The sequence below is a fragment of the Homo sapiens genome, chromosome 18, assembly GCF_000001405.40.
Source record: "Homo sapiens chromosome 18, GRCh38.p14 Primary Assembly".
NCBI classification, from domain to species: domain Eukaryota; kingdom Metazoa; phylum Chordata; class Mammalia; order Primates; family Hominidae; genus Homo; species Homo sapiens.
The window spans coordinates 54,898,177-54,914,233 of NC_000018.10; the positions used below are offsets into that span (position 1 = coordinate 54,898,177).

The following is a 16,057-nucleotide window of genomic DNA, read 5'->3' on the forward strand; positions in this document are numbered from 1 at the left end:
TAAGGATTTGAGATTTATCCATTGTATATATTTGTTTGTGATTTGGTCCTTTTATATTGTTGAGTTATATTCCAATATATAAGTGTACCACATTTTGTTTATCTATCTGTTAATGGACATTTGTTTTTAGTTTGAGGCTCTTACAAATAAAGTGCTATGAAAATTCACATACAATTCTTTCTGTGGAAAGAATCTTTTGTTTCCCTTGGGCAAAATAATGAGGAATTGAGTGACTAGATCAGATGGCAAGTTCATATTTAAATTTTTAAGAAACAGCCTGTTTTCCAAGTGGTTGTACTATTTTTGCATTTCCACTTGTACTAAATGAAAAGTCCAGTTTTTCCACATCCTCAGTAATGGCAAGTCCTTTTAATTTTAGTTGTTCTAATGGGTTAGAGTGTTAGACACCACTAATGTGGTATCTCTTAGTGGTTTTAATTTGCATTTGACTGTATTAATGTATTAATACAGCTAATGTATTAAGCATTTTTCAGGTGTGTATTTGGCATTTGTATATCTTGTCTTGTAAAGCAATGGTTCAATCATTTTTGCCCATTTTTATTGTATTATTATTTTTATGTTTTAAGAGTCTTTATGTATTCAGGATTCAAACCCTATATTTGTTGTGAGTATTTTCTCTAATTCTATGGCTTACTTTTTGTTTCTCTAGTGGTGTCTTTCAAAAAGCAAAAGAGATGAATTTTAATAAAATTTGATTTATAATTTATTTTTCTTTTTTGGCTTATGTTCTTTGTGTGCTATTTTAGAATCTTGCCTGCCTTAATATTGCAAAGAAAATCTACTAGGTTTTCTCCTAGAAATTTTGTAGTTTTAGCTTTACATCTAGGCATATTGCCCATTTCAGGTTAATTATTGTGTATGGTATTAAGTAAGGATCAATGTTTATTTGTTCCCCCCACCCCATGCAGACATTTCCAGTATTTCTGGTACCACTGGGAAGACTTTCCTTCCCCCATTGGATAGCCTTGACATCTTTTTCAAAAATCAATCAATCATCTAGATGGATCTACTTATGCATTCTTTTTTCCAACCATTGATATGTCTGTCTTTTCACCAACTGCTAATATGTTGATTCTTTTATGTTAATCTTGTACTCTGTGACCTTGTTAACTTCACTTTTTCCAGTTTTTTTCCTAGCTTTATTGAGATATAATTAACAAATAAAAATTATATATATTTAGGATATATAACATTTTGATATACATAAACATTGTGATTACTATAATCAAGCTAATAAGCATATCTATCACTTCACATAGTTACCTTCTGTGTGTGGGGGGTGGGGTGAAAATATTTAAGAACTATACCCTTAGCAAAGTTCAAGTATACAATATCTGGTAGTTTTGTAGTTTTATTAGAGTTCTCTATATCAATAATTATATGAAATGCAAAAAGTGAATAGTTTTACTTTTTCCTTTCCAATCTGTATGCCCTTTCCTTCCTTCCTTCCTTCTTCTTCTTCCTCTTCTTGTTTCTTCTTTCACTTTCTTTCTCTTTCTTTTCTTTCTCTTTTTCTTTTTCTTCTTCCTTTCTATTTTCTTTTCATTTTCTTTTATTTTTCTTTTCATTTTATTTCTTTTCTTTTTCTTGCCATATTCCAATGACTAGGACCTGCAGCACAATGTTTAAGACAAGTGGTAACAAAAGCAGGCATCCTTGCCTTTTTCCCACTATCAGTAGGGAAAGCATTAGTCTTTCACCATTAATTATATTAACTGAAAGCTTTTCATAAATGCTCATTATCAGAAATGATGAAGTTTTCTATGATTCCCAGTTTGCTTAATGTTTTTATCATGAAAAGTTGCTGAATTTTGTAAAGTGATTTTTTCATGTACTAAAATTACCATATAATTACTCTCCTTTATTATGTGTATATGGTGAATTACATTAGTTGGTTTTCTAGTGATAAACCAACTTTACATGCCTAGGATAAATCCCAATTTTCCATAATTCTACCACAACTTTAAACAATTTTTTTGTGTAGGGGAAAATAAATATATTTCTTTCCCATCTTAGTTTCATGGCTGAAGCTCCTATAAGGAAAGATAGATTAATAAGAGACCAATATACAAATCTATTTAAGTTGTATGTAGCATAGGAGCCTTATAAAACAATTAAGACCTGAAGAGACGGGTAAAGCTGTGTTTTTTAAATGCTAGTTTTGATGAAGATGTGGATAGTTGTGAAGAAGTATATTGGAGAAAAGGAGTATGAGCTAATGTTAACAAAGTTGGAGGAAATTAGCAAGGCCTGTTTGTTCAGATTCTTCTCTGTGTCCCTGTGTCTTCCAAGATAAGGATATTCCTTTCCGGTGGGTATAAGGAGGACACCTCTTGAATGAGGGTCATATAGGGGAAAGTTAAAAAAAATTCTTGCTAGATTTTATGACCTGCTTCAGGGCAGAAGGAGGGAAAGTAAGAGTGGCCTTCCTGCTTCTGCTGTTTTCTCAAGTGCCAAGGTGCCATGTTTTGGGGTAGCATGTCCTGAAAGCCATCATTAGTATATACATTAATAATAAATCAATTAATATTATTACTTAAATCTTTATTGCCTCCTTAATATTTTCCACCAAAAAATAAGAAAGGAAGGAAGGGAGACAAGAAGGAAGTTATAATGATTGCAATATTAGTTGGGGGACTTTTCAATTCTGGGTGGATAGAGTAACTACTTGGATATTGATGAGGATTCTGTATTTATTTGCAGGTCAGAAGAGAGGTAGAGATGTTCAAAGTAAACATGAATGAATTTGAGAAGTTGTGTGTGTGTGTATGTGTGTGTGTGTTCCTCTTAATTTTATAACTCTTTTTTCAAATTTAGAGTAAAAGCTTAGTAGATTTATTTTATTGTCAATTTAAATCCAAGGAAAAGCAGCAGAAAAATTCAGGAAGCTATTTATAAATCTGTTCACTGACCAAAACAATACATATACTATGGATAATGTTGTCATAAACAATCAGATAAAACCTACTGGTCTGGCGCTGGTGGCTCACGCCTGTAATCCCAGCACTTTGGGAGGCTGAGGCGGGTGTACCACCTGAGGTCAGGAGTTCGAGACCAGCCTGGCCAACATGGCAAAACCCTGTCTCTACGAAAAATACAAAAAAATTAGCCGGGTGTGGTAGCAGTCGCCTGTAATCCCAGCAACTTGGGAAGCTGAGGCAGAAGAATTGCTTAAACCTAGGAGGCGGAGGGTGCAGTGAGCCGAGATTGCGCCATTGCACTCCAGCCTCGTCAACAAGAGCAAAACTCTGTCTCAAAACAACAACAACAAAACAAAAACAAAAAACCACAAAAACCAAAAAACTACTTAATTCATTTATGCATAATTTTAATATAAAAAGAAAACCAAACAATTCACACAATGTAGCATCAATTTTCTTTATGGTAAGGCATATTATAAGCAATTATTCAAAAGATATACTATACTAATTGTTTAAACATTTTATAATGATAATTTGTAACAACATATGTAATCAAGGTAGAACTAAGTTTCTTTTCTTTTCCTGACTTCATGTATGAATTTCAGACCCACCTCAGACCTTCTTATCCAATAAATTCAAGAGTATAATTAGAAGTACATTATTTGGAATAAAACTGAACTAGTGTTTCTTTTCCTATATTTCCTGTGAAGTACTATTTTAGCTGAATAAATATTATTCCCCCTTGTAATCTTGTTTTTTCACTGAGAAGTGTTTTTTTTTTCATAAAAAAATATTTCAAATGATAATTTTATGATAGTGGATATAGGAAACAATCCATACATGACGAATAAATGATAAGGCTGATGGTATTATAAAGACAGCTACTCGGGAGGCTGAGGCAGGAGAATCGTTTAGTTTTGGGAAGGGCTATTATAATTTAACCTATAAAGTAAATTTCTCCCAAAGTTAGCTTGGCCCACACTCAGGAACGACCAAGGGCAGTTTCGAGGCAAGATAGATAGTTAGGTCAGATCTCTTTCACTGTCATAATTTCCTCACTGTTATCATTTTTGCATAGGTGGTTTCACCACTGTATTTCCATGTTCAAAAATGAGTATAGTGAAATCAAAATAAAAACCAACAGTGTCTTTCCACTTTTGACCTTAGAATAAGTTATTCTAATGGAAATCATCAAGATTGTCAGGTCAGTTAAATAAGCCCATTCCAAAATCTGAAATTTATTACAATCCAGCATGATGAATGAGGTATAAAAGGAATCTGGTCTCCTAGTAAAAGATGGATTCTCTTACTACACTGCAAATACTTAAAGCAGGACTCATGATCCTAATTTTCCTACAAGTGTGCCTGAAAATGTATCATGAAGAAATTCTTCAATGTGACATAAAGTCATAAATAATAAATGTATGATAAACAGATTTTTAGCAGGGAAGTTTGTCTGAACTGAGTTCTCACAATGGTAGTCCAGCTGGTGAAAGATCAACTCATTTCAGCAAAATATTGATTTTATCAGTATTTGTTGTTTCTTACTGTCATCCACAAAATAACACAGGCAGTCATCCAGGAAGCTATGTGTTGATTAAAGTGGCAAAAATAGAGAGATTTCTATAGCTGGGAAATTTCTTAGACCACCATGTGAGCAAGTAGAATGAATATCAATAGCCAAGTCAAAAGGTTCAAATTTTTGCTTCACAGTTAGCAGCTGGGCAAATTACTCAACCACTCTCAGTATCTTTCTCTGTAAAACAGGAATAATCTGCTTCTGAGGGCCTTGGGGAAGATAAAATAAATTAATACAAGTAAAGTGCTTAGACTTGTTGCTGGTATAAGGTAACTATGCCCTAAATGTTAACAGATAAATATACCTTCAAAATAAGCAAGCAATAAAAATGTTTCCAAAAATACCATGAAGCGTAAAACTCACACACAGTTACACAACAATTCAAGGATTACAGTACTTGGATAAATTTATAAATACATTACATCATCTCATTTTTATATACCTTCAAATATTTATAGACAACACTGATATTTCACATTCCATAATGAAAGAGTCAGCATCTTTTCTGAGCAAATATTTAAAGTTATACACTAGAGAGGAAGATCAAAGGCCTAAAGGAAATTCATCCTTTAGGGGGACCAAGGTCTCTCATTATACATTTAATTGAAGTTTGTTCTTTCCTGACTGTATGTCTGCATTTCTGCAAGTCAGAATTTGTTCTATTCACTGCAATCACAAACTCCACCTACAAAGAAGGCATGTATCAGAATTTAAGCAAACTTTCACAAATACACTATATATATCTTTCCAATTCATAAATTCAGATTCTTTCTGGCTGCAGACAGCAGTCATTATTCCTTTGAGCCTATAATATATACATTTTCATGGAAGTATGAGCTAACAGCATTATTTTTCTATCCCCCCAATATTTTATTTAGATACTATTAATAACTATCAAGAAGAAAATTAGTCACAAAGGCAGAGGAAACCATGTGCATCCCTGTGCGTTTGTGTGTACAGGTTACCTCTAGAAACCAATTTTTAATCCCAGAACTAAGAAGAACAGTCATTCTCTGATGTGTGGTGAGGCAGCCATGATTCTCAACTTCAGAGGGGCATATGGGTTGGGGAATTAGCTAAAAGGAATCTGCTCTTTCTCCTGCCCATAATTCAGTCAAGTATAATTCTCCCACAAACAATGGATCAGGAGATGAACTTATGTCACTGTACGATCTTTCCTATCATCCAAAAGTTAACTTTCAAATATGTTTGCTCATTCATACATATACATGCCCTTCATACATATATATGCAGGAAATGTATGTTCATTCATACACATATACACTCTCCCTTCTATTTATACTCTTAAAAACCACTATAAAAAAGTCAGAATTGACAATCTTAAAACAATCCCAGTAGAAAAAAAAATCTGAAAACAAGATTCAGATTTTTTTTTTTTTTTAATTTAAAGCAGAATCTGTCTTCCATCATGAGAAGGCACCTGGTTTCTTCAACTATTTGGTAAGTTTTGAAGAGTCCATCCATTAAATATAGATTTGTTTGATTTTCTGAAATGTCATCTTCTTGCAAAGCCATTGGTATGTAATAAGTTCCATTTAAATAATGGCATTTTGCCATTTTAACATGAAACTTGGGCTGTGTTTCAGAGAATAAATAAGACTCACGCAGTCTTTCTAAATCAGATCTTCATCCAGCCAGTTCATTTCCGTAACCTAATCAACATTAAATAAGGGGAAACACCTTCGGTCTTCAATTCACTGTAGAAAAGACAACACGATGATCAAAATGGAGAATGTTAAACTCTAGTGATTATGGCTAGACTACCATACTCAACTACCACAATACTATTCACATCAAATCTGAACTAACTGCTTTGTTCTAAGAGATGTGTTAATAGATGTATTCTGACCAGTTCCCCATGATATACAGTAGAATCGCATTGTGAAAGCATTTAATGCATGCAAATTCTGCTAGATGTAACAGGACAAGAATGAGGGAGCATGAGGGAAGCCGGAGAGAGGAAGAGCCTGTATCTGCCATTCCACCTGGTGAAGACATTCCCCAGAGTGAGTTGGAGATGACAAAACACAAATCAACTGTTCCCCCAGGCTATTTTAGTTCAATGCATTTTGCATAGCCTGAATTTATTTCCTCACTGTGTGATTCTAGTATTTAAAACTGTAAGTATGTGTGTGTATATATATACATATGTACACAGACATATGTATGCATGCACACACATATATACATATGCATATTTTATTATTGTTGTTTAACAACATGGCCCCTCATCTCAAGCAAACCACTCAAGAAACATCAGGCTGGATGCAGTGGCTCATGACTGTAATCCCAACACTTTGGGAGGCTGAGGTGGGATGATCACTTGAGCCCAGGAGTTCAAGACCAGCCTAGGCACCATAGCAAGATGCTGTTTTCCACAAAAAGAAAATAGCCAGGTGTGATAGTGTGCCTGTAGCCCTAGCTACTGGGGAGGCTGAGGTGGGAGAATCCCTTGAGCCCAGGAGTTTGAGGTTAAGATGAGCTATGATTGCACTGCTGCACTCCAGCCTGGGCCACAGAGTGAGGCCCTGTCAAAACAGAAAAACAAAGAGAATGAAAGGAAGTGGAGGGGAGGGGAGGGACTAGTTGGGAAGAGGGGAGGGGAAAGGAAGGGCAGAGAGTGGGAAGGAGGGTAGGGGAGGAAGGGGAGAGAAAGAAAGGAGAGGGAAGAGGGGAGGGAAAGGAAGGGAAGAAGGAAGGAAGGAAGGAAGGAAGATCTATATGTTCTAAAGCTCAAGTAAAAAAGAAAAAACCTTTTTTGTTTGTATTCCCTGAGAGAATGTGTAGAGATTTGCCAAGATTAAATTTTTATGTGTACATAATTTTCTAATTTCAGTCTTAACAGTTATCTTTATACTCAAATCTCTCCCTAGAGTTAATTCCATTGTATATTTGTGAATCCAGATTTACCAAACCAAACTACCACTTACATTTTTCAAGCAACCAATGGGCCATATTTTATTTTGCAAATGTGAGTCCTGCCTTTATATCAGGGGTGCCCATGACTGGTGCCATGGACTGGTACCAGTCTATGGCCTGTTAGGCATAGGACTACACAGCAGGAGGTGAGCAGTGGGCAAGAGGGCGAAGCTTCATCTGTATTTACAGCCACTCCCCATCGCTCACATTACCTCCTGAGCTCCACCTCCTGTCAGATCAGCAATGGCATTAGAGTCTCATAGGTGCACGAACCCCATTGTGAACTGTGCATGCGATGGATCTAGGTTGCGTGCTCCTTATGAGAATCTAATGCCTGAACATCTGTCTCACCCCCAGATGGGACTGGCTAGTTGTAGGAAAACAAACTCAGGGCTCCCACTGATTCTACATTATAGTGAGTTTATAATTATTTTATTATACATTACAATGTAATAAAAATAGAAATAAATGTAATGCACTTGAATCACCCCGAAACTATCCTCTCCACCCTGGTCCATGGAAAAACTGTCTTCCATGAAACTGGACCCTGGTTCCAAAAAGGTTGGGGACTGCTGCTTTACATAATTAATACGAGAATTTCTATCAAAAATCACAGAACAAAGGGGACATTCAGTCTCATTTCACCACTTCAATTAGGAAATTTCCCCCATTTGGCCTTTCCCAAGTCACAGGGAGAAGAAAAATCTTTAAACAGTAAACCTTTAACTATTAATTAGTTAAATACTAATTAATAGCTGTAGCTAAAGCGTTGGCCAAAAAAAGCATTCTCTTCAACATGACCCCTATATACCAGCCAGAGTCTCAGCATTCAATACTAGAGTAGTTACCATATGAAGATAACCAGCTGTTTCATTGTCTGCTCCATTCTGGCCCCATTCCCTCCAGGGTCCAAGCAGCTGGGACTGGCCATAGTGCTTCACCATCCCAATGGGAATGGTAAAGATGGAAGGGAGCAAAATATTAGCCATCCTTCCTTCCCTTAGAATGTCACGCTTGCCCTCCTAGTCCAAACTTTTCACATCTTCCCCAACTGAAGTGACTCGACTCTCCCTGCTTCTGAAATGTAGGCATTTCCTCTCCTCCTGGGAAACCTCTGAGGCTTCATTTCTTTTATTTTCTAGAAGTTGCAGGGCTAGTGGCCAAAAAGTTTCTAACAAGCATCTGGAGGCCAAAAGATTTTAGAGGACTTGAATCATAATAGTTTCATCTCTAGTCTCTAATTACATACATCATTAGCAAAGTGAAATACTGTTTCAGGCAGTTTTAAAGAGAGAAGAATCTTCCTGAATTCCTAGACTGATGCTAATCATAGTGGGTCTGATTTTTCCACCTCCGGCACTGGGCTGAAGAGACGTTTAGAAAATAAGATTCTTCCCTAGAGGGACTAGCTTGGGAAATTCAAAAGCTGCTAGAAGACGAAGTTTTTAATCACTTTTTGAATGATACATATAATTAGAGACTATGTTTTCTTTTAAATGATAATTTCATGGGGTTTGTGGAAATGAGATTTGAGCCCAGATTCTGATTCTGCCAACAACCACAACAAAAATTTAACTTAAAAAAATGACTTAGATGGTTTCAACCATCATTTCAATTTCTTTAGTAGGTCATCATCATCGCTTGAAATCATTCATTATTAGATAGCTGTTGAAGAACCTTGTCCTTAGCAATGCAGGAAATTAAAAAGAACTATTCTTGCCCTGGTGATATTTATATTAATAATTTATTAGAGTTGACAACATAGCAATTTCAAAAAATGCCAACAATTAAAGATTAAAATGTCCATCAATGGCATAAAAAACTTGAGCAACAGAAGAAGAAAGACAATAAAGGAGATGATCTGTAATGTCTAGGTGTTGGAGTTGAGATTGGGCTTGTTAATTAGGGCAAAGAAGAAAAAAAGAGATATCTAAATTTGTTCATTAATTTATTTAGTATTTCTGTGTTAGGCTTTGAGGATTAAATGATGAACAAGATTAACACAGTTCTGAATAGAAACTGGGAGAAAAACAGTAAACAAATGATTACATAAGCAGTGACAGACTGGAATCTTTCTTGAGTGGGTTGAATGTCTAACATGTTCAACATAGGTTGTGAAGACAGGGTGGAAGAGGACAGAGACCTTACCTTGTAGAGACAGCCTTAGATACCTTTGTCCTAGGAGTTTCAGATGAAAGTGCTACCTGGGTTTTTAGTTCTTTATTCTAAAATTGAAAAAAAATGCAGACGTCAAATAGCTAACACATTTATTAGCTACACCCTCAATGCTTCTATTCAACCCAACACCTGCCTCACTCGTTGGCAGCAAGTTTGTTATTGCAGTTATGCTATAGAACACAGAAAATAGCCAGTTGAAAGTCACTAAATATTATCTCTGAAGATGCAGATACTCCTTTAAAAATGTATAATTTACCAAGGGACTAAAATAGAGTATTCTGATTTAGCATCTGAAATTCAACAGCTGAAGTATCCATATTTTATTTTACAGAGTTTTAAAAATACAGGCAAATGAAAAGAACTTTTAAGGAACCTTGTTAAAGATACCCACAATATCAATCACATGTTCGTCTTTCTTTTGCGATCTCTTGATTATAAACCCCATGAAAATAGGTACCATCTGCTCTTTACTATTAATATAAGTTCATGGCCTCTATAGCCTCAATTTTCTTATGAAACCTTAGTTTCTTTATATCTATACTAGTGGTAAATGATACATGTCCTGCCTACTTTGTGTAAGTTGTTGGAAGAAACAAGTGTCATATGAACATAATATTTTACATCTGGAAGCACTCTCATAATTCTGGGAGTTCATGCAACAGCTAAGAACAGGAGTGGTTAGAGCACAAGTTCTCAGGTACAAATCCTAGCACAGCCACTCACTGGTTACATGACCTCATTTAGGTTACTTAACCTCTCTGTGCCTAATTTCCTCATCTGAATTACAGATATAATAATAACGCCTTCTCCACAGATTTAAAATGAGATAAAAAAATACGTCAAGTGCTCAGCTAGTGCCTGGCACAGATTTTAAGAGTAAAGGCAATTGGTTATGATTTTCTAGTCGAAGTGCCTTTTTTTTTGACAGTGTCTGGCTCCGTCACCCAGGCTGGATACAGTATCTCGGCTCACTTCAACCTCCACCTCCAAGCCTAAACCTGCCTTCCACTCAGCCTCCCGAATAGCTGGGACCACAAGTGTGCACCACTATGCCTGGCTAATTTTTGTATTTTGGGTAGAGACAGGGTTTCACCAAGTTGCTCACACTGGTCTTAAACTCCTGGACTTGAGCAGTCCACCTGCCTCAGCCTCCCGAAGTGCTGGGATTGTAGGTGTGAGCAACCGCACTCAGCCTCAAGTACCATTTTTATAACTATAAATTGAATTCCAAAGACTTCCAGTGCCCCACATCCTATTCATGCAGAGCTCAATGCCAAGCTGTTTCCTCCTGTCCAGAGCCAGTGTTTTCTCTACAACATAGTCAAGTGAGCAATTTCACTTCCCAGATCTGGAAAGTGAGACTTAAAATGGTTAGGGATCATGAGCAATGCTGAGTTGCCAGTGGGTTGCACTTTAAAGGACACACCCATATAAAAGTGTCTGCGACCAAAAGGTAGCTGGGGGGAACGATGACAAGTGATGAACAGCAGAACATCAGCTCCCTTCCCTTTCAAGGAACAGACTTAGAGAGTCATGTAATTATAGTTTAAAAGGTATTTTCTTTCTTTTTTTTTTTTTTTTTTTGAGACAGGGTCTCACTCTGTCGCCCAGGCTGGAGTGCAGTGGCGCGATCTCAGTGTTACAAGGTGTCATTTTTCTGGCCGCAAATGTTTGAGGCCAGTGGCGCCTTTGCCAGAGTTTTACTTGGTTCCGTTGGGCTCATTTTGTTCACTCAGCCTGGCAGGCTGTGAACTACTGGCCTAGGTCTCATGCCTGTCAAGGGCGAGTCAGGTGTGAAATGGTGAGGGGTGTGTGAGCAAGTGGTGTGGGGTCCGGCCACTGTGTATAGTCAAACATGCCGACTGCTACAGTGGGGCACACAGCGCCGGGTACTGGCATGGGTGCTGGCTCTGCGAGGCTGCGGCTAGACCAGGTGCACCACAAGCAGCTTCCACAGCTGGCACCGGGGAACACGGTGGCACCCAGAAGCTTGGAGATGCCAGGAACCGCAAGGCCCCAAAGAGAGAGTCACAGCCCTGGCTCAGGGAGCTCCCAGGTCTGGGCTGCCCAAAGGGCCACAGCTCTTCTTTCCTTCTCTTTGCCTGCAACATGGCGAGCAAGGGGCATGTCTCAGCCCTGTTTGTGTTACAGCTCTTTTAGCCCAGGCATCCAGTGGGTCCTGAGTTCTTGTCTGGCAACCAGGAAGAATGAGGTACCCAGACAAGTGTAGAGTGACCAAGACAAAGAGGAGCTTTACTGAGCAATAGAACAGCTCAGAGGAAACCTGCAGGGGGCAGCTCCCTTCTGCAGCCAGGGTGTCCTGACAAGTGTCCAGCTCCTAGCAGAGAAGGTAGCTCCTCTCTGCTAGGCAAGTGATCCCAACAAGTGTTCAGCTATCAACAGAGACGGTAGCTCCTCTCTACAGCTGGCTGCCCCATCGTCTGTGCAGCTCTCATCAAAGAGGAAGCCCTAGAGTGGGTGGCTCCTCTCTGCAGGCAGGTTGTCCCAATATCTGCTTGATTCTCAGTAGAGAGGAGGCCCTGGAGTGGGTAGCTCTTCTCTGCAGCTGGTCATCCCAGTGTCTGCCCAGCTCTGGCTAAGCCTGGGGCTTTCATGGCCTCAGAGGGGAAGGAAGTATGTGCTGATTGCTCCATGGGCAGCCATGAATGGGCCCACAAAAGGCAACACAAGTTCTTACTCCAGTGCATAAGACTGGCAGCCCGGCCCCCAGCATTCAGACCCTTCCTGTCCTGAAGGTGAGGACTCACTGGAGACCTGCCCCCTTCTGCCCAGGAGCCTGTCTGCCTTCTGCTGTGGTTCATAGCACCCAGGCTGTTTGTGCCAAGGGGCACCTTCAGGCCAGCACCAAGCTGCCCTCAGCACCCCCTTGGCTTCCCTCTCATGCTCAGTGGTGCCCAAAGTCCAGAGGGGGTTGAGGCAGAAGGGGGTTAGCATGTCAGCTCTAACCCGAGCATGCACACACCCAGCTGAGCTGTGACAGTGCCTGGGCTTGGCCCCAACTTTGCTCCGAGATTGGGGAGGGTGCCAACAGCAGGGAGAAGCCAGGCAGTGGGAGCAGGCACTTCCGAGCCTGCAAGGGCAAGGGGGGCCTTCCAAGGCCCCCAGGAGTGCAGGGACTCCTGAGTCTGCAGCCACAGTTCAAACAGCTGCAGCTGTGCCCAGTAGGGGTGGGGCTCTTGTGGGCTCCATGGAGAATGCAGCCCTTGCCACGCCTCCCTGCTGCAGCCAGTGAGATGGCAATAGACCCTCCAGATGGCTCATTACAGCCATCAATGGCTCACTGCAACCTCCACCTCCACTTCCTGGGTTCAAGCGATTCTCCTGCCTCAGCCTCCCGAGTAGCTAGGATTACAAGCACGTGCTACCACAGCTGGCCATTTTTGTATTTTTTTTAGTAGAGACAGGGTTTCACCATGTTGGCCACGCTGCTCTTGAACTCCTGGCCCTCCAGTGACCCGCCCGCCTCAGCCTCCCAAAGTGCTAACATTACAGGTGAAAGCCACTGCACCTGGCCTACAAGGTATTTTCTGAAATTCCACCTGATGGTTTGGATTAAGTTAATGGTTTAGAGTCAGCCTTGAATTGTGCCTCTTCTTAGCTCCCAGCATTTATCATGAATAATAACTCAAAGATGGAGCCAGTATCTTCACATGCAATCATCATTTCACTGTGAAATTTCAAGAGTGAAGCTAAGTTTCACCAAGGAAATGTACTTCAGATTTCATCAATTGATGGTGAAGATTTCCTCATATAATGAATATAAATCTATTATACACTCCAAACAAGGGCAGGCACATATTATAGGCCAAGCACGTGCCTAGAAAAAAGTCCCTCTCTATAGTACTTTACACTTGACAAAGCAATTTGAAACACACTCCCTTGATGACAAGCATGATTGAAATGAAAATATTCTGTGACAGGACAATTAGGTAAAAGCTACTTAGGTTTTCCCCAGAATAAGCTCCCAGTTTCTCGACCAATTCAGTACCAAACAATACAAAAGCATAGGAGTTATTATGTTAGACTCTCTTCAATTTATTTTAAATTCCATGCTGATTTGTTTCATCTACCAGATTTAGGCATTTAGTCTTGATTCATAGACTTTTCTGATTTTTCCTTTAACTAGGACAGTATATGCATGAGTTTTATTTAAAAACTACAAATCACTGGCCAGAATATGCCTGCCATTATTATGGCTCTGTCTAAGGATAGTTTATTGACATAGTTTTCACAAAGAATATAATTTTTGCATACTTAATATTTTAGCAACACACTCCAGAATTAAATTTAAAGGATGATGGTGCTTATATAAAGTAGGATAATCTTCAAAGTTTAGAAAATGGAGTAATTTCTGAAAATGCATTTCCCTAGGAGCAGGTCCTTAGCGAAGAAACTAGAAATGCAAGAAATATAAGATGAGTGTCAGAGCTGTAAATTAAGATGATGAAAGATATGCAAAACCAGAAAGAAAGTAAATAATTTCGGTAGAGTTAAGCAGAAATTTTCTGGTGATATTTAAAACTGGCTAAGAAGAATTAAACATTTTTTAAAAGATAGGGTTATATGAGTCAATTTTATCACCTATAGGGAGAGGAAAAAAACTGCTAGGATAGAAAGACCACCACAGGAAAAAAGGAGGTGTTTCCATTACTTGAAAGCTAGAAGTAAGGTAGAAAATATTTAATACAGTAACTGTGACAATGACTAAAATCAACGTAAAAGACTATGCAAATTTAATGTTATAACCAGGTGTTTAAAAATATATTGGCTACACATATATATTTCACAAACATGTATACACATACACACACACACACATTTAATCACCCAGTGTATTAGTCTGTACTGACGCTGCTAATAAAGATGTACCCAAGACTGGGTAATTTATAAAGGAAAGACGTTTAATGGACTCACAGTTCCACATGGCTGGGGAGGCCTCACAATCATGGCAGAAGGGAAAGGAGACGCAAAGACACGTCTTACATGGAGGCAGGCAATAAAGAATGAGAACCAAGCGAAAGGGGTTTCCCCTTAAAAAACCATCAGATCTCATGAGACTTATTCACTACCATGAGAACAGTACAGGGGAAACTATCCCCAGGATTCAAAGATCTCCCACAGGGTCCCTCCCACAACACATGGGGATTATGGGAGCTACAATTCAAGATGAGGTTTGGGTGAGGACACAGCCAAACCATATCACCCAAATACCCAGATAAGCAGATATTGATGGGCAGGCATGTGCTGCAAAATTAAGCAGACTCAAATGCAGGTTCTGCCACCTGCTTGCTGAATGATTTTAAACAGGCTGCTTAACTTCTCAGATCCTCAGTTTTGTCACTTGCAAAATGTAGTCAACATTAGCTCTCCTGGAGCAGCTTTCAGGATTAAAGAAAACAAAATACGTAGCATGACTAAACAGAGACAAACGATTTTAGCATGAATGAGAAAGTGATGCTGTCTTTATGGTTTCAAAAGTTGCTGGGTTTAAAAGGTTGTTCAAGCTCTGATGATCATTTTTCATAAACTGAATCAGTTCCTCCTGTTATTTTAGGAATTCCAAAATGGGCAGTGACCTTAAATTTGCAGTGCAAGACAGTGTACCCCTGCACATTTTATTCTAGCTTAAAAGCTTTATAATAAGCTATTCACTAGGAATAGGATAGAAATTTATTTACTATGAGGCTGAGTGAAGTGGTTCACACTTGTAATTCCAGCACTTTGGGAGGCCAAGGCAGGAGGATCACTTGAGCCCAGGAGTTTGAAACCAGGCCTGGCAACACAGTGAAACTCTGTCTCTACAATTTTTTTTTTTGTTTGTTATAAATTAGCCAGATATGGTGGTGTGCGCCTGTATTCCCAGCTACACAGAAGGCTGAGGTAGGAGGATTGCTTGAGCCTGGGAGGTTGAGGCTGCAGTGAGCCATGATCATGCCACGGCACTTCAGCCTCGGCAACAGAGTAAGACCCTGTCCCTAAAAAACAAATAACAAAATAAAAATAAAATAAAATAAAATAAATTGAATCACTATGGCTCAAAGTCACTATATTTAGGTATTTGGATACCTGGTCCAACATGTGCTCAGGGATGCCCTCCCTAATCCCTGTTACTCTGTGACTCCCCACACTCTTCCATTCTTCCTCGGAGAACTTGGCACTTCCTAAGCAAGCTGTGTACTTGCTTGTTTATTTGTTTGTTGTCTGTTTCTTCAAAGTATAAGTAAGATGAAATCAGGGACAATCTGTCACATTCATAGCCACATACCCAGCACTTAGAACATTTCCTGACACATCATAAACACACAAAAATATCTGTTGAATAAATAAATTAATATGGCTTGGACTTTTTAAAGCTCAAATGGGTGTAGTAACATCCACTGCTGTGAAGGAAAGATTT

General features: G+C 39.0%; 1 protein-coding gene across 17 annotated transcripts in view, besides 1 other annotated feature; it reads right to left on the reverse strand.

Moving 5' to 3' along the window:
- Positions 1–3,332: 3,332 nt before the first annotated feature.
- The window catches only part of CCDC68 (coiled-coil domain containing 68), a 57,953-nt gene continuing 45,228 nt past the window's right edge, over positions 3,333–16,057 (reverse strand). For 14 of the 17 annotated variants that reach the window (XM_011526199.3, XM_047437870.1, XM_047437864.1 and 11 more), the window contains 2 exons: positions 9,610–9,686; positions 3,333–6,239 (listed from right to left, as the gene is read on the reverse strand). In XM_011526199.3, the coding sequence (XP_011524501.1) occupies positions 6,182–6,239; positions 9,610–9,686 (135 nt within the window). In that variant the 3' untranslated portion in view covers positions 3,333–6,181. The remainder of the gene's footprint in view (positions 6,240–9,609; positions 9,687–16,057) is intronic. The other 3 variants (XM_047437867.1, XM_011526202.2, XM_047437868.1) reach the window with 1 other exon arrangement.
- Positions 7,728–7,959: a silencer, noted in NCBI's record as "fragment chr18:52573135-52573366 (GRCh37/hg19 assembly coordinates)". NCBI's record gives its function as "represses an EF-1alpha promoter that drives an FKBP-Casp9 reporter gene in an ReSE screen in K562 erythroleukemia cells {active_cell/tissue: K562}" and the evidence as "EXISTENCE:reporter gene assay evidence [ECO:0000049][PMID:32094911]".